At 53.1% G+C, this 26,381-nt stretch overlaps 1 protein-coding gene across 2 annotated transcripts, besides 4 other annotated features; it reads left to right on the forward strand.

The window, feature by feature from the left end:
* The first annotated feature begins 14,635 nt into the window (after positions 1–14,635).
* SAXO4 (stabilizer of axonemal microtubules 4) lies at positions 14,636–24,444 on the forward strand. 2 transcript variants are annotated; one of them, NM_145017.3, is made up of 14 exons: positions 14,636–14,732; positions 15,298–15,434; positions 15,827–15,944; positions 16,171–16,324; positions 18,204–18,332; positions 18,854–18,917; positions 19,315–19,427; positions 19,860–19,919; positions 20,040–20,126; positions 20,464–20,577; positions 20,662–20,756; positions 23,298–23,462; positions 24,017–24,100; positions 24,330–24,444. In NM_145017.3, the coding sequence occupies exons 2-13, from the start codon at positions 15,326–15,328 to the stop codon at positions 24,084–24,086; spliced, it is 1,278 nt and encodes a 425-aa protein (NP_659454.2). In that variant the 5' UTR covers positions 14,636–14,732; positions 15,298–15,325; the 3' UTR covers positions 24,087–24,100; positions 24,330–24,444. The 2 variants fall into 2 exon arrangements, with proteins under 2 accessions (NP_659454.2, NP_001164224.1); NM_001170753.2 differs by lacking the exon at positions 19,860–19,919.
* Positions 16,073–16,367: an enhancer, noted in NCBI's record as "tiled region #8840; HepG2 Activating DNase unmatched - State 12:CtcfO, and K562 Activating DNase unmatched - State 12:CtcfO". NCBI's record gives its function as "activates a minimal TATA promoter and a strong SV40 promoter by Sharpr-MPRA in HepG2 and K562 cells {active_cell/tissue: HepG2 | K562}" and the evidence as "EXISTENCE:reporter gene assay evidence [ECO:0000049][PMID:27701403]".
* Positions 19,619–20,438: an enhancer, noted in NCBI's record as "H3K27ac-H3K4me1 hESC enhancer chr11:61253575-61254394 (GRCh37/hg19 assembly coordinates)". NCBI's record gives its function as "activates a minimal SCP1, AML or CMV promoter by ChIP-STARR-seq in primed H9 embryonic stem cells {active_cell/tissue: H9 hESC(primed)}" and the evidence as "EXISTENCE:reporter gene assay evidence [ECO:0000049][PMID:30033119]".
* Positions 21,862–22,529: an enhancer, noted in NCBI's record as "H3K27ac-H3K4me1 hESC enhancer chr11:61255818-61256485 (GRCh37/hg19 assembly coordinates)". NCBI's record gives its function as "activates a minimal SCP1, AML or CMV promoter by ChIP-STARR-seq in naive H9 embryonic stem cells {active_cell/tissue: H9 hESC(naive)}" and the evidence as "EXISTENCE:reporter gene assay evidence [ECO:0000049][PMID:30033119]".
* Positions 22,530–23,196: an enhancer, noted in NCBI's record as "H3K27ac-H3K4me1 hESC enhancer chr11:61256486-61257152 (GRCh37/hg19 assembly coordinates)". NCBI's record gives its function as "activates a minimal SCP1, AML or CMV promoter by ChIP-STARR-seq in naive and primed H9 embryonic stem cells {active_cell/tissue: H9 hESC(naive and primed)}" and the evidence as "EXISTENCE:reporter gene assay evidence [ECO:0000049][PMID:30033119]".
* Positions 24,445–26,381: the final 1,937 nt, after the last annotated feature.

Here is a 26,381-nt window from a genome sequence, read left to right on the forward strand (position 1 = left end):
AGTATTTATCAGTTTGTCACATAAAAAATGGTTGTCAAGGCCGGGCGTGGTGGTTCATGCCTATAATCCCAGCATTTTGGGAGGCTGAGGCGGGCAGATCACTTGAGGTCAGGAGTTTGAGACCAGCCTGGCCAACATGGTGAAACCTTGTCTCTACTAAAAATACAAAAATTAGCTGGGCATGATGATGGGCACCTGTAATGCCAGCTACTCGGGAGGCTGAGTCAGGAGAATTGCTGGAACCCGGGAGGCGGAGGTTGCAGTGGGCCGAGATGGCACCACTGCCCTCCAGCCTGGGCGACAGAGTGAGTGAGACCCACTCTGTCTCAAAAAAAAAAAGAGGTCGTCAATATGCAGAGGTAACGCTTTGTTGCAGTGACGTGTGCGTAAGTTCAGGTCTCAAAAATCCACACCGGACATCCCTGCCACATCCATCGTCCATTGACAGTGCCTTGGGAGGTTCAGGGAACTGGGGTCATATGCTCTGTGTCCCAGTCAGTGTCAGGAAGACAGCCAAGACAATGCCTCCTTTAGCAAGTCAATATCTTCCTTAGTCTTATCCTGAGACTAATAATATGTGCTTATTGTGTGTGAAGCATGCTTCTAATTTATCTCATTTCTTTCTCATAATGAAGAGCAAAGGCAGTCTTATCAGCCCCACTTTAACTGAGAAACTGAGGTGCAGAAAAGTCATGCAACTTGCCCAACGTGGCTCAGCCGGTTAGTGGGGGAGTCGGGGCTTGGAGCCAGGCAGCCTGGTTGCATGGCCAGCCTGCTTAACCCCTCTGCTGTATGGCCTTACCCTGAGAAAAGGGGTTTGGTGTGCTGGTTACTTGAATTTAAAGCTATAACTTTAAATTTTTAAAGTTTAAAACAAGATTTTTTTTAAGAGAAAGAGTCTTACCGTGTCACCCAGGCTAGAGTCAGGTGGTGCGATCATGGTTCACTGCAGCCTCGACCTAGGCTCAAACAATCCTCCTACCTCAGCCTCCTGAGCAGTTGGGACCAGCAGGTCCAGTTAATTATTTTATTTTTTGTAGAGATGGGGTCTCTCTTTACTGACTAGGCTGGTCTCCATCTCCTCCTGCCTCAGCCTCCCAAGTAGTAGGCACCACCACACCTGGCTAATTTTGCAGAGATGGGGGTCTCACTATGTTGCCTGATACAGTTTGGCTATGTCCCCACGCAAATCTCATCTTCAATTGTAGCTTTCATAACATAATTCCTACGTGTCATGGGAGGGACCCAGTGGGAGGTAATTGAATCATGGGGCGGGTCTTTCCTGTGCTGTTCTCACGGTATTGAATAAGTCTAAGGATATCTGATCATTTTATGAAGGGGAATTCCCTAAGCTCTCTTGCCTGCCACCATGTAAGACGTGACTTTGCTCCTCATTTGCCTTCAGCCATGATTGTGAGGCCTCCCCAGCCATGTGGAACTGTGAGTCAGTTAAACCTCTTTCCTTTATAAATTATACAGCCTTGGGTACGTATTAGCAGCATGAGACCAGACTAATACATTGCCCAAGCTAGTCTCGAACTCCTGGGCTCAAGTGATCCTCCCTCCTCAGCCTCCCAAAGTGCTGGAATTACAGATGTGAGCCACCACATCCAGCCCAGAAATTTTCTCACGGTTCTGGAGGCTGGAAAGCCCAGGGTCAGGGTGTCAGCAGGGTTTGCTTCCTAGTGAAGGACCTCCTCCTGGCTCGCAGCCTTCTGGCCGTGTTCTCACATGGCGGGAAGAGAGGTCCAGCGTCTCCTCCTCTGAGGACATCATTCTATTGGGTCAGGGCTCTGCCCTATGACCTCATTTAACTTTAATTGCCTCCTTAAAGGCCCTGTCTCCAATGATCGCATGGGGGGAGGGCTAGGGCTTCAACATATGTATTTGTAGTGGGACACAGTTCAGTCCCTAACAAAAGGAAATGAGAGCTCTGGAGGGTGGCACATTGGCAGTTAAATGCTTGTCCTGGATGTGACACTCTTTCTTCACTATCGCTCACAACCGTTTGGCCAGAACTGGTCACATAGCCCCACAGGGAGCCCAGAAGTACAGTCCCATCCCATGCTCCAGTGGTGGAGAGTCAGAAATAAGGTTGAGCGTCATTGATTTTCACCATCATAGTAAATTTTGAATCTTTACTAAGTGCAGGGCCTGTCCTGTGTGCTTCTTGAATCAGGGAGAAGGTTTTATACAAGAAAATGGCACATTCTGAAGTGGAGCTCAACAGGTAAGAATGAGACCATTCTAGCATTGAGCCCTGGCTCCTTGGCTGACATTCTGTGTGACTTTATACAAGCATCTTCACATCTCTGAGCCTTTGTGTACACATCTATAAAATATGGACAATGTGGCTGGGCATGGTGGCTCACACAGTCCCAGCACTTTGGGAGGCCGAGGCGGGTGGATCACTTGAGCTCAGGAGTTCAAGACCAGCCTGGCCAACATGGTGAAACCCCATCTCTACTAAAAATATAAAAATTAGCCAGAAATCGCTTGAACTCGGGAGGTGGAGGTTGCAGTGAGCTGAGATCGTGCCACTGCACTCCAGCCTGGGCAACAGAATGAGACTCTGTCTCAAAAAAAATAAAATATAGACAATGCTTTTGGCACACTGTATGGATAAAGCACATAGCACTGTGACCTGGCCATTGGAGAGGCAGCATTGCATTGCAGCTAAGCTTGCAGGCTTTGGAGTCAGCCAGACCTGCATTTGAATCTTACTCATCTGCTTTTTGTTTTGTGTCTTTATTTGTGTGTGTGTGTGTGTGTGTGTGTGTGTCAGAGAGAGACTGTTCTAAGCAAGCACATTACATGGAAGTAACTGGAATTGGAACTCAGGCACGTTGGCCTCCAGTAAGCATGCTTGTACTGTTACCCTACACGGCCCTTAGGTTAGCACAGAGAGATTATTTATTTATTAAAAAAAAATTTTTTTTTGAGATGGGGTCTCACTCTGTCACCTAGGTTGGTGTGTAGTGCTACAGTCTCAGCTCACTGCAACCTCTATCTCCCAGGCTCAAGCAATCCTACCACCTCAGCCTCCCAAGTAGCTGGGACCATAGGCGCACACCACCACACCTGGCTATTTTTTTTTTTTGGTAGAGATCGGCTTTCTCCATGTTGCCCCGGCTGGTCTTGAATTCCTGAGTTCAGGCAATCCGCCTGCCTCAGCCTCCCAAAGTGCTGGGATTATAGGTGCCAGCCACCAAGCCCAGCCCAGAGAGATTATGTGTAACTCTCTCTACTACTAGTTCCATGGGGGATAAGGACCATACATACATTACGTTCCATTCTGTTCTGTGTTTTAGCACAGTGCCTGGCACATAGTTGGTGCTCATTAAATGTTCATTGAATGACTAATTGACTGATGAAATAAATGAAGGTAGAGACTCTTTATGAAGCTGCCTGTGCTGGATCCAAGACCATTGATATCTGTTGCAAATGGAAGTTGTTAATGAGACTCAACAAGTTAGTGGAAAATGTTTTGAGTGTTTTATGAGATTCTCTTTTTTTTTTTTTTTTTTTTGAGACAGGGTCTCACTCTGTTGCCCAGGCTGGAGTGCAGTGGCGAGATCTTGGTTCACTGTAGCCTCAACCTTCCAGGCTCAGGCGATTCTCCCACCTCAGCCTCCCAAGTAGCTGGAACCACAGGCATGTGCCACCACGCCCAGCTAATTTTTTGTTCACCATGTTGCCCAGGCTGGTCTCAAACATGGACTCAAGCAATCCACCCACTTCGGTCTTCTGAAGTGCTGGGATTACAGGCGTGAGCCACTGTACCTGGCCTTTTTTTTTTTTAATTGGTTAATTTATTTATTGAGGCGGAGTCTCACTCTGTCGCCCAGGCTGGAGTGCAGTGGCACGATCTCGGCTTACTGCAACCTCTGCCCCCCGGGTTCAAGCGATTGTCCTGCCTCAACCTCCCGAGTAGCTGGGATTACAGGCGCCTGCCACCGTGCCTGGCTAATTTTTGTATTTTTAGTAGAGACGGGGTTTCACCATGTTGGCCAGGATGGTCTTGAACTCCTGACCTTGTGATCCACCTGCCTTGGCCTCCCAAAGTGCTGGGATTACAGGCATGAGCCACTGTGCCCGGGCTTTTTTTTTTTGTTTTTTTAATTAACTTTTTTAAATTTTAAATTTGAGACAGGGTCTTGCTATGTTGGCCAGGGTGGTCTCAAACTCCTGGCCTCAAGCAATTCTCCCACCTCAGCCTCCCAAATTGCCGGGATTATAGGCCTGAGCCACTGCACCCAGCCACAGGATTCTCTTAAAACCACAAACTTACCATACTTTCTAGATGTTTCCTTTCCCTCCTATGCATGATATAGTTAGCCACTATCTAATTGAAAGGTGTACTAGTCACGTTAGGCTAGACTATGATAATAAATAAACCCCCAAATCTCAGCGACTTAACAACGCAACCCTTATTTCTCATTTGTGCCAAGTCCAATGTGAACTGGGCAGCTGTTCAGGACAGCTCCTTTCTGTGGCAGCCCAGGGATCCACGCTCTGCCATCTCAACATGTGGTCTCCACGGTTGCTACTAAAGGGAATGAGAAAGTGCGGATAACTCACATTCACTTGCAACCTGGAAGCAACACGTGACACTTCTCCGAGCCCTTGGGCCGGAGCTAGTCACATGTTCCTGTGGAACTGCAAGGAGCCTGGGAGGTGTGGTTCTCCCTGGTACCCAGGAAGGAGAAGAGAACCAGATCTGGCTGAGCCTGAAGTCTCTACCACAGTCTGTTCTGCTGGTCTCCATGTACCGCATTGGATTTGCTCTTCTTCCTACACACAACACACAACATGAAACTGCTTTCCAAGAGAGAAAACCCAGAGTGATGTGCAGCTCCTGCCTCCAGCCAGGATCTCATGGGCTGCCCTAGGGTCTCTTTATGAGGTCTAGAGGTGGCCTTTTTTGGTCCAGAGATGTAGGAATTTTAAAAAGTTACCTGTTGGGGGCCGGGTGCGGTGGCTCACGCCTGTGATCCCAGCACTTTAGGAAGCCAAGGGGGTGGATCACCTAAGGTCAGGAGTTCGAGACCAGCCTGGCCAACACAGTGAAACCCTGTCTCTACTAAATATACAAAAAAAAAAATTAGCCAGGTGTGGTGGCACGTGCCTGTAATCCCAGCTACTCAGGAGGCTGAGGCAGGAGAATCGCTTGAACGCAGGAAGCAGATGTTGCAGTGAGCCAAAATTGTGCCACTGCACTCCAGCCTGGGCGACAGAGCGAGACTCCGTCTCAAAAAAAAAATAAATAAAAAATAAAAATAAATTTTAAAAGTTACCTGCTGGGCACAGTGGCTCACACCTGTAATCCTAGCACTTTGGGAGGCCGAGGCAGGTGGATCACTTGAGGACAGGAGTTTGAGACCAGCCTGGCCAACATGGAGAAACCCCATCTCTACTAAAAAATACAAAATTTAGCCAGGTGTGCTGGCGCATACCTGTAATCCCAGCTACTCGCGAGGCTGAGGCACAAGAATCATTTTAGCCTGGGAGGCAGAGGTTGCAGTGAGCTGAGATCATGCCACTGCACTCCAGTCTGGGTGACAGAGCAAGACTCTATCTCAAAAAAAAAAAAAAAAAGGCAGGTTACCTGCTTCTCCCTTCCCACCCCCACGCCATACACAAAGGTGGAGTAGGGGCAGGGACAGGATAACCACAGTAAGGATACCCCGGGAAGTGGGAGCTGAGGCCTTCTGGGCAGACCTTGTGGAGGGGTAGGGAAGTTTCTGGAAGGAACTACCTTCATCGCTGCTCTCAGGGCCGCTTGGCTCCCTCATTTAAAGCTCTTTTTCCCCTACCTTACTTTACTCGATCATATCTGAAGTAGGGATTGTGTGTTCCACCCTCCTTGAGGGTTGTGTGGATTTCTCAGCCCACTTCCTGCCCATGGAAGTTTTAAGTTTCAAATAGTCACAATCTTTTTAAAGACCAGGCCCATGGCCAGGGGCGGTGGCTCATGCCTGTAGTTCCAGCGACTTGAGGCTGAGGCGGGAGAATCTCTTGAGTCCAGGAGGTTGAGGTCACAGTGAGCTATGATTGCGCCACTGCACTCCAGCCTGGGTGACAGAGCAAGACCCTTTCTCTAAAAAAAAAAAAAAAAAAACAAAAACCAAACAAAAAAAGCCCCATTTTTTTTGGGCATTACTGTTTTCTCAAAATTTCAGTAGGCCTCTCATCTGTCTGCTTCCAGTGAGTTTCATATGCCTGAATGTGACAGTTAATTTGTGTCTCAATTTGTCTAGGTGACTGGGTACCTGGATATGTGATCGAGTATTCTTCTGGGTGTTTCTATGAGGATGTTTTTGGATGAAATTGGCATTTAAATTGGTAAACTGAGTAAAGCAGTCTGTCCCCCTAACCGGGGTGGGCTTCATGTAATCAGCTCAAGGTTTGAATACAACAAAAAGACTTACACTCTCGCAAGTGAAAGGCAATTCTTTCTGCCTGGTAGCCTTCAAACTGAGACACAGGCTTTTATCCTGCCTTCAGATTCGCCTGGGAACACTGGCTCTTCCTGAGTCTCAAGCCTGCTGGCCTTGAGACAAGAACTACATCAGCTCTCTCAGTTCTCAAGCCTTTGGACTTACTCTGGAACTAAGCCATCAGCTCTCTTGGGTCGTCAGCTTGCCAACCAACTCATCCTGAAGATCTTGGGACTTGCCAGCCTTCATAGTCACGTGGGCCAATTCCTTTTTTTTTTTTTTTTTTTGAGATGGGGTCTTACTCTGTTGCCCAGGCTGGACTGCAATGGCACGATTATGGCTCACTGCAGCCTCAACCTCCAGGGCTTGAGTGATCCTCCCACCTCAGCCTCCCAAGTAGCTGGGACTACAGGCACATGCTACCATGCCCAGCTAATTAAAAAAAATTTTTTTTTTGTAGAGACGGAGTTTCACTGTGTTGCTCAGGCTGGTCTTGAACTCCTGAGCTCAAGCAACCCTCCACTTCAGCTTCCCAAAGTGCTGGGATTACAGGCATCACTGGCCCAGGCAGAGCCAATTCTGTATAATAAATCTGTCTCTCTCTGTCTCTCGTGTATGTGTGTGTGTGCACATTCTGTTTTGCTAGAGAATGCTGACTAATACAGAATCACATCCTAATTTATTTCCTAAGAAGTTCTCAAATCTTCATTTCTTTGCTTATGCCGCAGTAACAAACAAAACCCCAAACCTTAGAGGCTTAAAGCAGCAAGGTTTATCTCTCTATCACATCCCAGTGTGCTGCAGGAAAAGCAGCTCCAGGGCAGCTGACTCCATGCAGTGACTCAGAGATCCAGCCTGCTTCCATCTTTTGGTTCTTCCATCCCAAGTGTGATTTCTACCCACAGAGAATGGAAAACTCACACCCACCTCTAACTACTCAGACTGGGAGTGGCACTGCTCAATTCCACCCACAGAACCAGCCATGTGGCCCTTATCTAACTGCAAGGAAGGCAGGAAAATGCAATGATAATCATAAACATTTCTTGAGTGCTTTCTCTATGCCAGGCTGTGTGCTAAGCATGTAAATATTGTCTTTTCTGTATTCCAAGCCTAAGTCTCTTAAAGTTCTACTGTGACCTCATCATACAGCCAAGGAAACAGGCTCGGAGAAGTTAAGGAAGTTGTCCAAGGGCACATACCTCATAAAGGCAGGGCTGCAGAATTGAACCCAGATCTCTGTGCATTGGAAACCCACCCCCTTGACCCCTGTCCTGGTTCCTTGCTCATCTCTGCCAAGAATATCTTCATTCCATCTGAGGATTGGGAATGGCTTCTTATTTTCTGCCTCATCTCATTTCATCTTCCCCGCGAGTCATGAATTTTTAAACCTTGTGTGAGATCAACAAGTTCACCCAGAGGAGACAGTAAAAGAACAGAACAGGCAGGAACAGAACAGCCATCAGATACACAGGATAGAGTCTTCCAGGAAATGCCCACTGAGGGGAGAAATGAACCACAAGTGAGGCCAGGATTGTGGGAGGCTGTGAGGGAAAGCAATCCGGTCATCAGGGGAATCATTTCCTTTTACGAAAGAGAGAGAGATGGGACTTAGCCATTAGACTTGGGCTATTTCAGTTCCTGGTAATGACACAGCTCAGTGAATAGAACCCCCAAAGCACTTTCGGAAGGGGGGCCCCAGTCCTGGGCAGCTCTCCTGCCTTAATCACTGCAAGTCACAGAGCAGAGAAACTGGAAATGGGCAAAATCGATGACAGGCCTGCCTGCAGACCACGCCCTGGACCCAACCTGCGCCCCCACGGTCATTATGTCACCCATCACTCCTTGGTGCTCACACAGCTGAGCCCATGAAGCAGGGCAGCCCCCACTCCCAGGACTAGACAGAAAGGTGGTTGCACGAATCCAGGGCTCCATGCTCTTCCCCATCGCAGGGAAGACAGGGCCTCACAGACTTGATGTCCTCCCAGTCAGCTCTTCTCTGCCATGATCCCCTTTATGCTGCGTCCCAGCTTCAAACTGCTCCCCTGAAAGGGTCAGTTGGAGCAGCTGAGCTTGGGGCATCTCACCTGGGTGAGCTTTGTTGGTGGGCTCAGAAGAATCTGGGTTGGGAAACAGTACTCTGGGGGCAGAATGAGGGGTTCAGTGAGCCCTTGTGTCCTTTGTGGGCACCTTGGAGTCTGGCTTGGGAGAAACTCCCTGTGCAGGTCCAGCAGGCCTAGAGGCCAGGCTGAGTGTGGGTTGGCATGAGGCCGACTCCCCTCCATGCCCCGCTGTAATAAGGCAGAGGGGAAGGACCTTGGAAGGGGGTAGGCTGGGGTCCTGCTATGTCACAGATGGCAGGTGAGGGGCCCAGGGGGAGGGGACGTGGAACCAGCCATCACTTCAGTATATGAAGACAGAGCTCCAAGTTCTCCAGGCCAAACAACACATCTCAAACTAAAGCAAGCCAAACCTCCTATCCTGGCTCAACCCCCTCTTCACAGGCAACAGGATCAGAGGGAGGCAGTTAATTAAGAAGGGTCACATAGCACTATTTGTGCCAGAGCCAGACCTCAAACTCAAGCCTAGAAAAGGCTCAGAAAGGGGCAGGCATGTAACCTCAGATCACCTGAAGCCAAGAAACATTACTCTAGGCTTGTCCCAGCCTCCAGCATGGGAATTTCAAAAGTAGGAGTATAATTACCCTCTCCCTGCCACCCCCAGCCTCCTGGGCTGGGAGGGCTCAGTGCCTTTAGCTGCATCCCAGGGATCTGTTTCCCATTTCTCAATCATCTTAGCTGATTCGAACAATTTCAGACCTTTCTTCTGTGAATTTTTCACCCAGCAGTGCCCAGCACAAACTGAGGACCATGAGAGGGGTGAACTCTTTAAAAGGATTTTTAGGCCTAGCATGGTGGTTCACACCTGTATTCCCAGCACTTTGGGAGGCCGAGGCAGGAGGATCCCTTGAAGCCAGGAGTTTGAGACCAGCCTGGGCAACAAAGCAAGATCCTGTCTCTATAAACATTTTCTTAAAATCTTTTTATTTTTTTTTCTCTATAGAGGTAATCAGGTTTAAAAAGAGATTTAAAAAGTCATAGGAGGTCAGATTTTGAAAATAGATCTGAGAACCTCTAGCTCAACCTTTGAGGCAATATCAAAGTGGTCACCAGCATGACCTTTGAAGTCAGGATGTCTGGGTTCAAATAATGGCTTTTCCCCTTAGTAGCTGTGTGACCTGTGACAAGTTACGCAGCCTCTCTGTGTCTGAGTTTCTTCATCTATAAAATGGAGGAGCTGATACCACCCACCAGGTAGGAATGCGGTGAAGTTTAATTGTGCTAATCATGGGAAGTGCTTAGAAACAGTCCCTGATACCTAACGAACCAGTGAAAGTTTGCTCTTATTGTCATCCTGTCAAGCTGTTGCATGCCTCCTGGGATGGGGAACTCACTCCCCCCAGGGCAGCCTGTTCCCCTATTGGATTATTTTGTGTGTTAGGAGGCTTTTCTATCCATTAAGCTGAAGTATGCCAACCTGTCTCTTCCCTACAAGAGCCCTGGCTTCCCTCTGAGGGCGGCTATAAAGACCCACATCAACCAAAGCAAAATGACACACACTTGGTGGTGTGTGGCTCATTCACTTCAGTTAATCCTCTTTTAGGGAACTGCAGCCCACATGGCCCAGCACAGAGCGCAGATGTCTGTCTCTGCTCAGGACTCAGCACTCAGTGGTGGTGTGCTCTGGCCTCGGGAGCCTGTTAGGGCCTACCCCACTGATCCCAGCCAAGGAACTCTATGGGCTGAGACCCAGCATGTCCTCTCACTGGGTCCTCTCTGCTAACCTAGTGTGTCTGTAGCCTCTGCCTTCGTATGGGAGGGAAACAGGGGAATCTTTTTTTTTTTTTTCTGAGATGGAGTCTTGCTCTGTCGCCCAGGCTGGAGTGCAGTGGTGTAATCTCGGCTCACTGCAACCTCTTACTCCTGCATTCAAGGAGTTCTCCCTGCCTCAGCCTCCCGAGTAGCTGGGATTACAGGCGCCCACCACCATGCCTTGCTAATTTTTGTATTTTTAGTAGAGACGGGGTTTTGCCATGTTGGCCAGGCTGATCTCGAACTCCTGACTTCAGGTGATCTGCCTGCTTTGGCCTCCCAAAGTGCTGGGATTACAGGCATGAGCCACTGTGCCCGGCTGGAAACGGGAATCTTACTGCCCAGGACTGGGCAGAGCTAGAAAGTAGGAGGCAGTTGCCCATCTGGCCAGGGCAGCCCATCCCTTTGGAAAATCATCCCTTTGGAAAAGCCCAGTGCTAAGGTCCCGGCGCTTTCTGGAGAATTTGCTGGTGTGTTCCAGAGGGCGGGGCATAGATTCCAGGGTCAAAGCTGAGTTTGGATCCCAGCTCCACTCCTCCCTGTCTGCGAGGCCTCAGGCAGTTTCCTCACATGTAACATGGGCAGGATTATAGTAGTTCCCACGTAGAGCCGGGAGTGAAAAGCGATGATGAGGTGATTCGTAGCTCAGCTCTGGCACAATAAAGTGCTGAATAAATGGGGACAGATATGGGAAGGGAGTGGGATGAGGTGGGCCTAGATTTTCCAGTATGGAAGGACTTTTAGTCTGTTCCTTCATTTTGTAGATAGAAGGACTGAGGTCCACAGGTGACAGGTCCAAAAGTCACGCTGCTCTTGGGTCACCTGGCACCTGGGCTCCCGCTCCTTGTGGGCTCCAGCGCTTGCCCTCCCGGAACACTCCTTGCCCAGACGCAACCCTCCTGTTCTGGAGGGATGGGTGAGTGAGGCTTGGGGTGGGGCTGTGGCCAGGTCGACGGAGCTGCTCTGTCCCCAACTCCTAGGACCCCCCGACCCCGGTCTTAGGGATTCATCTGCGGCATCTCCTGCAGTTCCGAGTTATGGCCGCTGGGTGTCGCCACACAGCAAAAAACCCACGGGCCGCCGGGAGGACGGGACCTAATGGGGGCTCTGATGGGACAGCGCCGGCCAGACCCTGATCCCCGACCCTTGAACTCCTGCCCAGGTCCTTGGTCGGCTACAGCCTAGAGCCTCCCTAAGAGAAGCCCTAAGGGATGATTTCAAACCTTTCTACCACCCCTCCTTGCCCCCTCCACCTGCTAAAAGGAAAACCTGGCTACAGCCTACCTGGGGGCTGCTTCTCCCAGCTGAGCCTCTCCTCCCCACGCAGTGCTCCAGCCACGCTGCACTAGTCAGGGCTCCCAGCCTGCTGGACACCTGTCTCCGCCTTTGTGTTTGTCGGGCTTTCCACGTAGAGGGCCCTTCCTTATCTCTGCCTGGTGCAGGCCTGTTACCTCTTGTGCATAGGGTATTTCAAATCCACCAGCGACCCTGCTAGGTAGGCACAGTTATCCCTGCCTGCAGGTACAGAAACAGGCTCAAAGAGAGGAAGCCCCGAGTCACACACAGCAGAAGCAGGTTTTGAACTCGGGCTCCCACAGTGAGCTTTCTTTTGCTACATCTGAGATCCTTCCTAAACCGTGGGCTCTCTGAGGCCAGGGCCATGTGGATTTCCTGTTTGTAACCCTTAGGCCCAACCCTTTGCCTAGCAGGCAGTGAGTACTCAAAAGGAACCTCTTTCCCTAGCTCTTAGATGGCACCTACCGTGTGCCAGGTACTGGGCTAAATGCTTCGTGCGTACCACAACCCTGCAGGTAGTTACCATTATTATACTCATTCTCCAGAAGGGGAAACTGAGGCACAAGGAACATGCACTGTCTTACGGTTATCTAGTGGCAGAGACAGGACCCACACCATCTGGCTTCAGAGTCCAAGCTCTTGCTCGTAGCCACTTATCCAGGCACACTTAGAGGAGGGCCCCTCTCTCCCTTCACCCTGTGAGCACCTCACCTATGGTGGTCTCACCCTTTGTGCTTCGTGTGTGGAACTCCCACGAGCCTCTGTAGTAGAATGGGAGCACTTTGCTGGAGGGCAGGGCTGTGTGCACTCACTCCTGTGTCCTTGTGCCCTGTGATCCCTGAACAGAATCGTTAGTCCGGAGGGTGGGTGCCAAACGTGCTTCAGCTTGCCTTCCCATGGGGGGCTGGGTGAGGACACGAGTGAGCCTCCACCCTGGCAGGCCAGGTCACTACAGGATGAATGCGGCAAGGGCATCTCCTGGGTGAGGAAAGGAGATGCCTCCTTTCCCTTTATTCAGCCTTCATTCATACCTCACTCTCCCCTGAGAGCAGGGGTGCTCTGAAGCCAGCTCTACCGGCTCAGGAGAGCTGAAGGCGAAACTTCCAGGAAATTGGCAAGCTGGTTTTTAACTCTGCCATTGTTAAAAATTAAATTACTGGCCGAGCGCGGTGGCTGACGCCTGTAATCCCAGCACTTTGGGAGGCTGAGGCAGGCAGATCACTTGAGCTCAGGAGGTCGAGACCAACCTGGCCAACATAGTGAAACCCCATCTCTACTAAAAATACAAAAATTAGCTGGGCGTGGTGGCGTGCACCTGTAATCCCAGCTACTCAGGAGGCTGAGGCAGGAGAATTGCTTGAACCAGGAGATGGAGGTTGCAGTGAGCTGAGATCGTGCCACTGCACTCCAGCCTGGGGGACAGAGCAAGACTCCATCTCAAATAAATAAATAAATAAATAAATAAATAAATAAATAAATAAATAACTTAAACCTGCAATTTAATGAATTATATTAAAAACAAAAAAAAATACCTAAAACTCATCACCCCTTAATTATGTGAGTACATTTTTCTATTATTTGTGCTGTCGAGGTTACTTACGCCCATTATGTCTGCATGATGGGACTACTCCCGTACAGTGGTGAGCGACCTTCCCATGTCCCGGTTCAAAGACACTGTAGTGGTGGTTTGAAAGCAGCCCTGATGGGACCACTGACATCACAGAAATTGGCAAATGCTGCAAAGTAGGGCTATCCCACCCCACCCAGAGATCTAACTGTTACAACATTTACAAGCCTGAAAGCCAATTTGAGGCAAAAAGGCTGTCATGGAAGAAGATTCTCACTGTGGAGTTTGCGCACTCAGATTTGAGTCCAGGCTCCGTCTCCACCCACTGTGGGGCCTGGGCTATTTCCCCTTGAGCCTCGCCTTTCCTATCTGCAAAATAAGACTAAAAGTACAGCAGCTTTTGCAAATTGAGCATTTGCCGAGTGTGGTGGCTTGCCCCTGCAATCCCAGCAACTCAGGAGGCTGAGGCAGGAGGATCACTTGAGGCCAGGAGTTCAAGACCAGCCTGAGCAACATAGCAAGACGCTGTCTCTACAACAAATAAATACATAAATAAGCAAGTCAGGCAGGGGGGAGCACACCTGTAGTTCTGGCTACTTGAGAGTCTGAGGCAAGAGGATTGCTTGAACTTAGGAGTTGGAGGCTGGACTGAGCTATGATGGTACCTCTGTACTCCAACCCAGGTGAGAGCATAAGATCCTGTCTCTCTTAAAAAAAAAAAAGAGCATTTACTACCTGTCAGGTGCTGAATCCATGCTCTTGCTAAATCTGCCAGCAGCCCTGTGAGGTGGGTGCAGTCACGTCCCTTGCGAAGATGGGGATTTGGGGGCGTGAAGAGGATAAGTACCTCATCAAAGGTGACAGATCAGATTTGAACCACACTCTTAACTGCTGCGGTTTATTGGCCCTACAATAATAGTGCCCAGTTCACAGGGTGGTTTGGGGGATTACACGACGTAATGTGTGTTAAAGGGCTTAGCACAGATTCAGCTCCAGAGGAACATAGTAAATGTTGATTTACCGAGAGGCAGAAGAGCGGGATCCACATCCACCCACGTTTGAATCTCAACTTGGCTATTTTCTGATTGCGAGATCTCTGGAGTCAAGTCATTTTGCTTATCTAAGCCTCATGTTCCCCCAGTGAAAATGGGGATAATCATAGCTACTGAAGAGCTGCTCAGAGGATGGAGATAGAGGATGTAAAGTATCTGCCGAGAAGTGGGTACTTTATGGGAGTGAGTGTTCGGGATTATCTTTTATTTTATGTCACGCAGACAGCAACTCTTCCCAGCCCTGTGGAGGAGGCCGGAGGTTGGGGCCGGAGCCCTGGAAGCAGGGCCTTGCTCGGGCAGCTTCTGACCCTCCCCTCCTGGCCAGGTCAGCCCCTCAGTGGGCCCTGGCCCTAGAAGGTCTCAGAAGCCTGGGGACGCTGTTGCTAGGCACCAGTTGCTAGGCTACACATTGTTTCTCCTGCTTGGCCTCCTCCAGGAGGGCTGGCTTCTCTGCAGAGCTCTGCTTCCTGCAGCCTCTCCCCGACCTCAGAGCCTCTGCAGAGGAAAGGTGAGGGTGGGGCCGCTGTGGTTGGGCCTCGGGGAGAGTGCAGCCAATTCCCAGGGGAGGCAGGCAAGGCCAGAGGCGGGCAAGGCCATGGAGATGAGGGAGAGAGAGGAGCCGGGGGCTGGGAGTGAGCGCCTCGGCCTGACTTCTTGGGTGGGGGCCAAGAATTCCCCAGGTAGTGGGTTGTCGGCTCATTCATTCCGAGAGGTGGGTATGTAAGGTTCAGGTCAGGGGCCGAGTAGTCAAACACCTAGGTCTGAATCCCAGCACTACCACCTATTATGGAGCAAATCCTTTATCACTTGGAACCTCACTGTCCCAGTGGTAAATGGGGACAGGAAGAGTTAATAAGAAGGTGTGGGAAAGTGAGAGGAGACATGAGGACTCTTGGGATAAGTGTGGATGATCGGTTTCGTCCTTAGTTTAGGGACTTGGGAGCTGGGGCAGAGAGACAGAGGCCTGGGAGAAGGGGCCAGCTGCGTTGTGGGTGGTGGGGGGCAGATCTTCGCCCCTGTGGGCTTCCGAGCCAGGCTTGGGACCCATGAGGCTCCCCGTGCTTCCTTTCTAGGCCCCCTGGGGCCCTGCCCCACAGCATCATGATGGGGAAACTCCCCCTGGGGGTCGTCTCCCCTTATGTGAAGATGAGTTCGGGGGGCTACACGGACCCCCTGAAATTCTACGCCACCAGCTACTGCACCGCCTACGGTGAGGGTGCCTTTGCGCAGGAGCCTCTGCTAGGACATGGGCAGGAAGGGAGGGGCTCTCTCTGAGGGAGGAGCAGACCCTCTGGCTGTCACACTGCAGAGCAACTGCTGAATCCGTTTGTCCCCTGGGCCCTGCCCGGCTGCTCCCTTCTCTGGTTCTGTCCCTGCAATTCTGTCACTGTGATTCTGCCACACTGACCTTGTCCCCAGCCCACCCACTCCATTTCCTGCCATCACAGTCCTGAAAGGGCAGGCTTGCAAAGCTCCTGCCCGTGGCTCTGAGCCCTCCCCTGTCACTGTGACCCCTGTGCCCCTCGGAGGACGCTGGCCCTGCCTGGGAAGCCCTGCCTGTTTTTGACCTTGGGGTCTGTCTCCCCGTTACCCCTCTGGCAGGTCGGGAGGATTTCAAGCCCCGTGTGGGCAGTCACGTAGGCACCGGCTACAAATCAAATTTCCAGCCCGTGGTCTCATGCCAAGCCAGTCTGGAGGCCTTAGACAACCCGGCCAGGGGGTACGGTCTGTATGGCCCCTTCCCAGCCCCTGCCCTGCTCATCAGACCAACTCCAGGTTCCTTGGATGGGGACCCTGAGCTTTGCCTGCCCTAGGCTGGGGGTCCTGGGTGACTCAGGGCACAGCGGACCTCTGAGCCATCTGTGGGAGGGTGCAGGGAGGAGGGAAGCTCCTTAGCAGAGGACAGAGGCAGGCGGCCTGGGGTTCTAGCTCCTCCTCACCCTCAGGGAACAAGCCCAGGACCATTTCCAGTCTGTGGCCAGCCAGAGCTACCGCCCCCTGGAGGTGCCTGACGGCAAGCATCCCCTGCCCTGGAGCATGCGCCAGACCAGCTCAGGCTATGGGCGGGAGAAGCCCAGTGCGGGTCCCCCCACCAAGGAGGTCAGTGCTGGGCCAGGGCCAGGAGAGGGAAGCCTCAGGGTGGGGTGGGGCTAGGGCTGCACTGCCAACAGTTGGTCAAGGTGGAGGTGACAGGGCATGGAGCAGCCACCTTGTAGGGATGGGGTCCACTCATCTTTCTCCCCTTTGTCCTCATCCTTGTCCCCACCATCCCCACCACCTCTATTCCCTGCCCCAGCCCCACCATTACCTCCACCTCCATTTCCATCCCCATCCCTGTCCCCATTCCCATGAGCCTCACACTCCCGTCCACACCTGCAAGCCCCATCACTGTCCCTACTACCACCACTGTCCCCCCACCATGGACATCCTCACCCCATCTTTTTCATTTCTTTTTCTTTTTTTTTTTTTTTTTTTTGAGATGGAGTCTCACTCTGTTGCCCAGGCTGGAGTGCAGTGGCACGATCTCGGCTCACTGCAACCTCCACCTCCTGGGTTCAAGCGATTCTCCTGCCTCAGCCTCCCCAGTAGCTGGGATTACAGGCATGTGCCACCACACCCGGCTAATATTTTGTATTTTTAGTACAGACAGGGTTTCACCGTGTTAGCCAGGATAGTCTCAATCTCCTGACCTCGTGATCTGCCCGCCTCAGCCTCCCAAAGTGCTGGGATTACAGGCGTGAGCCACTGCGCCCAGCCCCATCTTTTTCATTTCTATCCTCATTATTACCACCCTTCTTATCATCAGCACCACCACCAAAATGGACACTCATTCATTCATCCAGCGAGAATGTTCTGAATATCTCCTTCATATTTGAAGATGATAAGAGCGGGTGGAGTGCGGGGTGGGGCGGGGGTTAGGAAATACAACAGGGAGAAGCAGGGAGGAAGAGAAGTGAAGGAGTTGGAGGCCAGGTGCGATGGCTCACACCTGTAATCCCAGCACTTTGGGAAGCTGAAGCAGGCAGATCACTTGAGGTCAGGAGTTTGAGACCAGTCTGGCCAACATGGTGAAACTCCATCTCTACTAAAAATACAAAAACTAGCTGGGCATGGTGGCACGCACCTATAATCCCAGCTACTCAGAAGGCTGAGGCAGGAGAATTGCTTGAACTCGGGAGGCGGAGGTTGCAGTGAGGCTGAGATTGCCTGGGCAATAGAATGAGACTTGGACTAAAAAAAAATAAAGCCAGGCGTGGTGGCTCACACCTGTAATCCCAGCACTTTGGGAGGCTGAGTCAGGTGGATCACTTGAGGCCAACTGCTGTTGGGTCAGCCTGGCCATCATGGTGAAACCCCATCTCTACCAAAAAAATACAAAAAAAAAATAGCCAGGTGTGGTGGCTTGCATCTGTAGTCCCAGCTACTTGGGAGGCTGAGGCACAAGAATTGATTGAACTCAGGAGGTGGAGTTTGCAGGAAGCTGAGATCATGCCACTGCACTCCAGCCTGGGCAACAGAGCGAGACTCTGTCTCAAAAAATGTAAGTAATAAATAAATTAGAAGCGAAGGAGTTGCAACTGCAAATCGGGAGGGTCGGGAAAGAGCTTGCTATGGAGACACTGGACAAAAACTTGAGGGAGGCCAGCTCCTCCAGTTGCAGCTGTCTGAGGGAGGAGTGGTCCAGGCAGTGCCAACAGCAAGTGCAAAGGCCTCAAGGTGGGAACAGAAAGGAGACAAGCAGCTAGAGCAGGGTGAGGCACTCAGGTCCTTGCAGGCCACCAGGAGGACGTGGAATTCCCTGCGAGTGTGATGGGAAGGCTGCAGGGCTCTAAGCAGAGAGGGGACATGCAGGTTTCATTGTAAAAGGACCCCCTCTGGCTGCTCTGCAGATACTGCGCTCTGTAAAGGTCAAGGGCAGAAGCAGAGTCAGGGAGTGACTGCCGCCCCCTCACTTGTAATTGGCCCTTCTTCCTCCCAGGTCCGGAAGGTCCATTTCGACACCCAGGAGCACGGGCCTCAGGCCATCACGGGGCTGGAGCCCAGGGAAGTGCCTCTGCTCCACCAGCAGCAGGGCCAGGACCCGCTGGAGCGGGAGAACTTCCGACATGTGAGTGGCAGCCCAGCTAAGGGCTTCGGGGTGGGGCAGAGGGGCCACACCCGCCTCTTCCTCCCACCTCAAGACAAGTATTGCACTGACTCACCCAAGAAGCCAGCTCAGGGTGGGCTCAGGGCGCCAAGAAAGATGGGAGAGCAAAGGATTTGATATTGGCTATTTCCAAAATAGCCTCAATGTGGCTTCTCGCGATTTAACGCTACTCCTCTTCCCCCAGCCTTCCTCCTCCTGCTCACGGCCCCTCCTGGTCTCGGTCCCTCTGGGCCCCCCACTCATTACCAGGAGTCTGGTGTGGGGTGTGACGTGGTATTCATAGTCACAGGGGAACTGTGCTTTGTGCTGAAATTCCTGGCCCTGCGATGTCCCACCCCACAGAGACTTGTGTCCAGGGTGCTGTACTGGCCCACACAGGCTTCCTCAGAGCACAGAGAACCGAGGCGCCACTCCACCGCCGCCACACGCCTTCGGGGCCCTGGTGGGTCAGTGCCCCCACTCCTCCAACCTCTCTGTTCCAGGGCCCACGCTTCATGACGTCGGAGTACAATTCCAAGTATCTCAGGGACCCTCTAGACCAGCCAGGTAGGCCCTGTCTGAACTCACAGCTCCCTTCCCATCTTCCAATCCACCTCCCTACTTGCTACCCCAGGGGCCCTGGAGCTGGCCTAGGACTGAGAAGGCACCAGTGGAAGAAAGAAGGATGCACAGGTGGCTGGAGGGAAGCGCCTCTCCCGGGCTGACCTCAGTACCTTGGGCCTCTCAGGAGGGTGGCTTGGCCGGTGCATGCCCTTCCTGCTGCTCCCTCTCCTGTCCTCCGGCCTGGACTCTGGAATCCTCACCCTGCCACCCACGATCCTCATGGCGCAGGTCTCCAGGATCTTGGGATCCACTCCCTCTGCACCTGCTGGGACACTGAGCCTCTGGAGGACACATGGGTGGGCCAGGTGGCCTGGCAGCACACAGGGCATTTCTTTTGCAGATTTCTTGCAGAAGAAATCGATCGGCGCAAAGGAGGGGAGTGGCTTCACCAAACAGTCCCACCAGAGCCCCATTGTCTTCCAACCGCCCTCACAGGCCCTCCCTGGGGACCCTGTAAGTCGGCTGGGCTCCTGCTAGAACTTTAGGGGGCTTGAAGCCCTCCAGTCTCAGGGTTTCTAGCTTTCCTAAAGAATGTGAGCTGCAGAGCCCTTTGTTCAAACACAAGACGAAAGAGCTTAGGTGAAAACCACTGCTTTGGTCCAAGTCCCCCATTTATAGATGAGAAGACTGAGGTCCAAAGAGATGAAGGAGGTGTAGCCAATGTCATTCAGAGTTCAGACAAGAGCCCTGGCCTGCTGGTCCCATTCAGAGTCATGCCTTCCCCTGTCTTCTCCCCAAACACTTCCCTTTTCTCAGTGATGCCCATTTGAGCTGAGTCCTCCTCTGTGCTCAGCACAGCAGTGGCCTGGAGGCAGAGTGGGTGGGAGCCACCAGGGGCCCAGGCTGCCTCTGCGGGGCTGACATCCTCTGTGGGCCTATTTCCAGGCCCTCCTCCCAGGCCAGAGTGTCACCAAGTCAGACTTCCTCCCCAAGACTCACCTACATGTAAGCTGAGCTAGGGGGAGGCTGGGGACCGCCTGGCGGGGAGCAGTTAGAACATGGCTCTGGAAGGTGGTGGGGGAGGCAGCCACATCCTGGTGCCAGTGGCTGCTTTGCTCCCTCCAGGGAGATGAGTTCCTACCTGTGTTGGCCAGAGGCTCCAAGCGGGAAACAGCCTTCAGCCGAGGGAATGAAAGGATTCTGAACCCCAGAGTGAGTGGCCTTGGCGTCTTGCTCAGAGAAGGGAGAAGACAGGGAGGTTTCTGGGAAGAGGTGGCATTTGGGTCAGGCATTGAAGAATGAGAAGAATTAGGATATTTAGGGATGTGGAGGTAGGCCCTCAGGTGGAGGGTGAAGAGAGCCTGGGCCTTCCTGGGGGCTGGAAGATGAGGGGTGTGGTCTGAAATAGAATTGGCTGGAAGGGGAAGGGAGGGTCGCTGGGGCTGTGGACAGGTCACAGCTGTGTGTGCCTCTGCCTGCTCCCCTCTCCATCCCTGCTGCCTCAGGCTGGCCACCTCAGCCTCCCTTCTGGTGGTTCTGTGCCCTGCAGGTGCCCCCTCCCTGCCCAGAACCCAGCAGCGTGAGTCACCAGCAGTTTCAGCCACTTCATCGGATGCAACAGACAAACGTTGCCCTGCTTGGCCGGGAGACTGTGGGGAAAAAGGTGAGACTTGCTACACCTAGCCTCCACCCCCAAATCCCCACCCCTTCTGACTTGACAATTCCCCTGTCTACCCCTCTTGTGCAGGAGCCCACAGGGTTCAGCCTTAACAACCCCATGTATGTCCGGAGCCCCTGTGATCCTGACAGGGATCAGCGATACCTGACCACCTACAACCAAGGGTGAGGTCCGCTTCCTGGTCCAAAGCTGAAACCCATTTGAGAAACAGACTGAGACTGGGATAAGTAATGAGCTCACAGCCTCGTGGAGAAGATCAATGCTGAGTGAATATGGGTTCCCCAGAAGCATACCCTAAGCCAAGGATTGGAGTGCAAGCATGTTATCAGGCAGTTATTAGGCGTGTGGGAGTGGAGAAGAGGGATGAGGGAGGGAAGGCAGCAATAATGAGCATGTTACTAGGCCAGCTATCCCACTGGGAAAACTCTAGAAAACAGTGTAAAGCACACAACTCAGAACTACCCCAGTCAAAGGTGAGAGAGCTGGGGTATTTATACCCCCACATCCATCGGTCATTGGTTAAAGGCTATCCCCAGGGCAACATTAAAGCCCAGGTGCCTCCTTGCTCAGGCAAAGCAGCTTCTAGCATCCCAAGGGTAGCTTTCCCACAGAGATGCAGGGCATTGGTGGCCAGGCTGGTGGGCATGGAAAGAACAGGGCAGTGCGAGGGAGTCTGGAGCAGCAGCATCTGCTAAGACATTCCATCCAGCCAATGGTTGGTGGGCTCGATGCTCCCTCAGAAGGTAAATTCTGTGCTGTGCATTCCCTGGGTTAGGAGTGACTGTCCTGGGCATCAGGGAGGGCTTCCAGGAAGGAGGTGGCCCCAGAGCCATGGGGAAGCCTCCTGGGGCCAGGACTGGGTGGGGAAAGCATTATAGGAGTGGTATAAAGGAAGTGTAATTCTTCTTCTTCTTTTTTTTTTTTTTTTGAGATGGAGTTTCACTCTGTCGCCCAGGCTGGAGTGCAATGGCGTGATCTCAGCTCACCGCAACCTTCGCCTCATGGGTTCAAGTGATCCTCCTGTCTCACCCTCCTAAATAGCTGGGATTACAGGCATGTGCCACCATGCCCAGCTAATTTTTGTATTTTTAGTAGAGATGGGGTTTCGCCATGTTGGCCCGGCTGGTCTTGAACTCCTGACCTCAAGTGATCTGCCTGCTTTGGCCTCCCAAAGTGCTGGGATAACAGGCATGAGCCACCGTGTCCTGCCAAGAAGTACAATTCCTTTTTTTTTTTTTTTTTTTTTAAGATGGAGTCTCTCTCTGTCGTCCAGGCTGGAGTGCAGTGGTGCGATCTCGGCTCACTGCAAACCCCGCCTCCCGGGTTCACGCCATTCTCCTGCCTCAGCCTCCCGAGTAGCTGGGACTACAGGCGCCTGCCACCACGCCCGGCTACATTTTTGTATTTTTAGTAGAGACAGGGTTTCACTGTGTTAGCCAGGATGGTCTTGATCTCCTGACCTCGTGATCTGCCCGCCTCCAGGAAGTATAATTCTTAGGACAAACTCCGAGCCAGGAAGCGCAAGCTTTCCTCACAACATCAGTCACCTGTGTCCACCCTGCTTCCTCTCCAACTCCTGGTCCTTCAAGGTGTCCCTGCCACCTCTCTGTCTCCTCCCCCTGCCCCACCCCCTGCTCCGGGATACCTCCCAGAATCCATTCATGGAATAGACTTTAACTGAGCCCTGACTGGGTGCCAAGCCCTGCTCCAGGCCCTGGGAATGTGTGTGCAGCTCCTGCCCTACGGAGCTCAGACCTCTGCATGGGAGGAGACATGCATGTGGCTGCAGCCAGTTAGCGAGAGCTGTTAGGTAATGCGCAAAGAGAAAGGGATCGCGAGGGCTGCAGTGCGCACGGGTCGGATTTGAAATCGGTGGCCTTGAGCAGGTGACGTTTGAACTGAGACTGAAAAGAGGGGAGGGCGGTGTCCTGGAGGAGCAACAGAGAGTCTGAGCTGGAAGGGCCGTTTGTTGTCCTCTGGCCTAAACCCTGAGGCTCAGAGGGGAGGAGCAGAGCTTCCGCCCGCACAGCAGACTCAGCACAGTGGCCGCTCCAGTTCCCACGGAGGTGGGGGAGGGGCAACGATGTTCTGACCCCTTCTTAGGCAAACACCTCCTCCTGTGGCTCTGGCAGAGACCAGCTCCAGTCCTGTCTGCTGGGTCCTTCCAGCCTGTCGTGTCCTGTTGTGTCCTGAGCTCCTGCTGGCTGTCAGGCACGCTTGCTGGTGCTTCCTGGTGCGCGCAGAGCCCCGGGATTGTCATCACTGATTCCTGCATTGATCTGTCTGCACCCCCTCTTCATAAGTTCAAGGGTGGGACCCCCTTCTTACTTGTCTTTGCACCCTCTGGACCTGGCTGTGCTCAGTGAAATGGAAGGAAATGGAAATGAAATGGAAGGAAAGTTAAGTGCCTAGAGAAGTGGATGAGACGGGGTCCCCACCCCAAGGTACTGGCAGGCCAGGGACAGGGGCATCACTGAAACTGTCCTTTAACACTCCAAAGAGTGTTTCAGCGTCAGGTGGAGGGGAGGGCAGGCTTTTTGAGTAAGAGTTCCCCCAGTGGACGTGGGCTTAGGGAGAGCTAGACGAGGACAGCATGAGCAAAGGTGGGGAGGCTGGGCGATCTGAGGGTCGATGGAGAAGGGCAGCAGGGGTTGCAGAGGTGGGCAGAGTCCAGCTTCCAGCCAAGGACCCCTCCTCTCCTCCAGGTACTTTGAGAACATCCCCAAGGGTCTAGACCAGGAAGGCTGGACTCGAGGTGGCATCCAGCCCCAGATGCCAGGAGGCTACGCCCTCAGCCAGCCGGTCAGCTGCATGGAGGCCACCCCCAACCCCATGGAGAGCCTGCGGCACCTGCATCCCCACGTGGGAAGGTGGCACCACCCCCAGCTCTGTTCTTTCTCCCTACCCCTCATCCAGGCCGTGTGCCAGGCCTTTCCCTTCCTCTCCTCTCTTGCTGTCAGTCCGGTTCATTCCTATGAGAGGCCCATCTCCTCTGGCTGGCTCTGGTGTCCCTTCTCCTGCTAGCACAGGCTCCTCCCCTCCTCTCCTTCCAGTGACCCCTCCCTCAGATGGCTCCTCCTCCCTCTCCTGCCCCTGTTCCCCAGGCCCGGTGGACTGGATGGGGAGGATCTGAGCAAGGGGCTCTGGGGTGGTTCAGATCCAGAGGGGGATGCGGGGACGGATCCAGAGATGAATGGACTGTGGTTCGGCCTCACTCAGCTCCTTTCTGCTCAATTCAATTCCTCAGAAATTACATTTATATCAACAATGGCCCAGAGTTGGCAGGCAAAGAATGTTTGTGGCTTGGCTGCCCTGGCTGAACCCTGGCTATGCTCTCTCAGGGAGGGTCAGGCAGAAGACAAGAAGACAAGGTCCATGCCCTGCCTGCCAACACCCCCAACACTCTCCTCTTGCCTCCCTGCAGAACCCTGACCTCAGCTGACCCCTTCTACCAGAACACACCTCACAGCAGCCGCTGCGTGGCACACAGCTGAGCCCTGAGCCCTTGGTAAGGGGCTGGGGATCCCCACACTCAGCTGCTCTGGTTGTGTGGGCAACCGTTATGGGCCAGCCCTGCCTCTCAAGCCCTGGGTTAAGCAAGTCCTGCCTGGGGACCCCCCTTCCAAGTGGGGGGTGACAGATCAGGGGGCCTCTCAGAACCCCTTCTCTGCCAGGCAAGCACACAGAACCACCCCAGAGCCCCTTGCTCAGGCCTCGCCTCTGCTTCTCCTCTACAGGTTTGTCAATCCTAGGGGACAGGAGCCAGGCTACTGTCTGTACCCCCACTCCATCCCCCAGGGGAACACCCCTGCCCAGCTACTTTCCTAATGAAATAAAGAGCATTGAAGCAGAGAAGTGTGACATCACTATCAGGGTGGCTGGAAAAAGGAGGGGTGAGCTGGGGCGGTGGGTGCAGGGGTGGAGGAGCTAGGGCCAGATTTGGAGTCGGAAGGGCTCGGCTGGAACCTCTGAGGAACCATGACACGATGGATAGGCACTTCATTCTCCACGCTCAGTTTCTTGTCCTGTAAAGGGGTCCTCTATGGCCTGTGCTGCTTGGGAAAGTGCTTGGTCAAGTGTGGGTGGAAGAACCCCAGGGGAGGGGCAGGTGGTCCAGAGAAGGGGAGGGAAGCAGACGCAGGGCAAGGGGACAGAGGAGAGTCTTGGATGCATGGCCACCTGGACACCAACACGGGGGTGGGGGGCGCTTGATCACAAAGGCTGGTGCCAGTCTCCGTCCCAGCCAAGGTGACCAGAGCAGGTCACCTGTTTGTGAGAAAGAGAACAAGCTGCCCCTTAGGCGGATGTCCCAGGTGGGCGCAGGCCCTGATGAGCCAACATCCTGTGTGGGAAGAGAAGGGCGTCTCTTCCTCCAGATGTTGCAGCCTGACACAGGCCCCCAGCCTGCAAGACAGCATCTGGGCCAGCTCTCAGCACCTTTTGTCACCTCAGCCAGGTGCATTTGTGCAGTGCACAACACTACAACTGTATGCTGTGGCCCTGCTAGCACCAACTCCTTATAAATGAGAAGTGTGAACCCAGGAGGGTGCGTGAGCTGCTCGGGGTCACACAGGGCAGAAAGGCAGGAGCAGCGCTGGGTTGGGGATATCCCCCGTGCCTTGCCGCCCTGTCTGGGCATGCAGAGGGGGTGTCCTCCGAACCCTTGCCTCCACTTGTGTTCCTTAGTGGGGGTCTGTGGAGCAGCACTGCTGGCCCCAGAGCCTGGCTGTACCCAGCACAGCCTTGAGCAGCAGGCCTGGGGGCTGTCCACAGCCCGGCTGGGGCTCCATGTGGGCTGTGGGTGGCTCCAGCTGGTCCCAGCATGAGAGGAGGGAAGCAGAAGACACAGAGTCTCAGAGCCAGACTCAGGACCCAGTGACAGCCCAGACCGTGGGTGGCGACCTGCCAGTCCATGCCCCAGCATTAGGAGTGAGTCTCCAAAGGGACTGGGCTGGGCCCCAGCCACGGCCATAGTAAGGAGGAGAGGGAGCGAGTGTGGGATCAGCCAGCCTCTCCCTGCCCAAAGACACACACACACGCACACACACACACACACACTCAACTCAAAAGCACATGCAAATACAAACACACATGTGCACACAGACCCCTGAAGGCACGCACACACACATCTAGGCACATAAACGCCAGCGGAAGTACACACAGACAAACTAACACAACCACACACACGGAAACACAAACAAATGGGCACAAGCACCAGATCTTCACATAAACACCCAAGACTCTCAGACACGCACACACACACACAGCCAGCCTATACCACTGATATAGTTTGAGTATTTGTCCCCATCCAAATCGCATGTTGCATTGGAATCCTCAGTGCTGGAGGTGGGGCCTGGTGGGAGGTGATTGGGTCATGGGAGTGGATCCCTCATGGCTTGGTGCTGTCCTCACTATAGTGAATTCTCCTGAGATTTGGTTGTTAAAAACTGTGTGGCACCCCCCACCCCTGGCTCCTGCTGCTGTGTGTCAAATGCCTGCTCCCGGCTGGGTGCGGTGGCTCACGCTTGTAATTCCAGCACTTTGAGAAGCTGAGGCAGGCGGATCACTTGAGGTCAGGAGTTTGAGATCAGCCTGGCCAACATGGTGAAACCCTGTCTCTACTAAAAATACAAAAAAATTAGCCGGGCGTGGTGGCGGGTGCCTGTAGTCCCAGCTACTCGGGAGGCTGAGGCAGGAGAATGGCGTGAACCTGGGAGGCGGAGCTTGCAGTGAGCTGAGATCGTGCCACTGCACTCCAGCCTGGGCGACAGAGCAAGACTCTGTCTCAA

Source organism: Homo sapiens, chromosome 11 (assembly GCF_000001405.40).
Source record: "Homo sapiens chromosome 11, GRCh38.p14 Primary Assembly".
Taxonomy (NCBI): domain Eukaryota; kingdom Metazoa; phylum Chordata; class Mammalia; order Primates; family Hominidae; genus Homo; species Homo sapiens.

Excerpts from the sequence above, each read along its gene's own strand:
- SAXO4 (NM_145017.3), top strand. The coding sequence starts at position 15,326 with ATGATGGGGAAACTCCCCCTGGGGGTCGTCTCCCCTTATGTGAAGATG. Across the intron at positions 18,918-19,314 it reads GGACCCTCTAGACCAGCCAG|ATTTCTTGCAGAAGAAATCG; the intron begins GTAGGCCCTGTC and ends TTTCTTTTGCAG. Across the intron at positions 20,757-23,297 it reads CTGACCACCTACAACCAAGG|GTACTTTGAGAACATCCCCA; the intron begins GTGAGGTCCGCT and ends CCTCTCCTCCAG.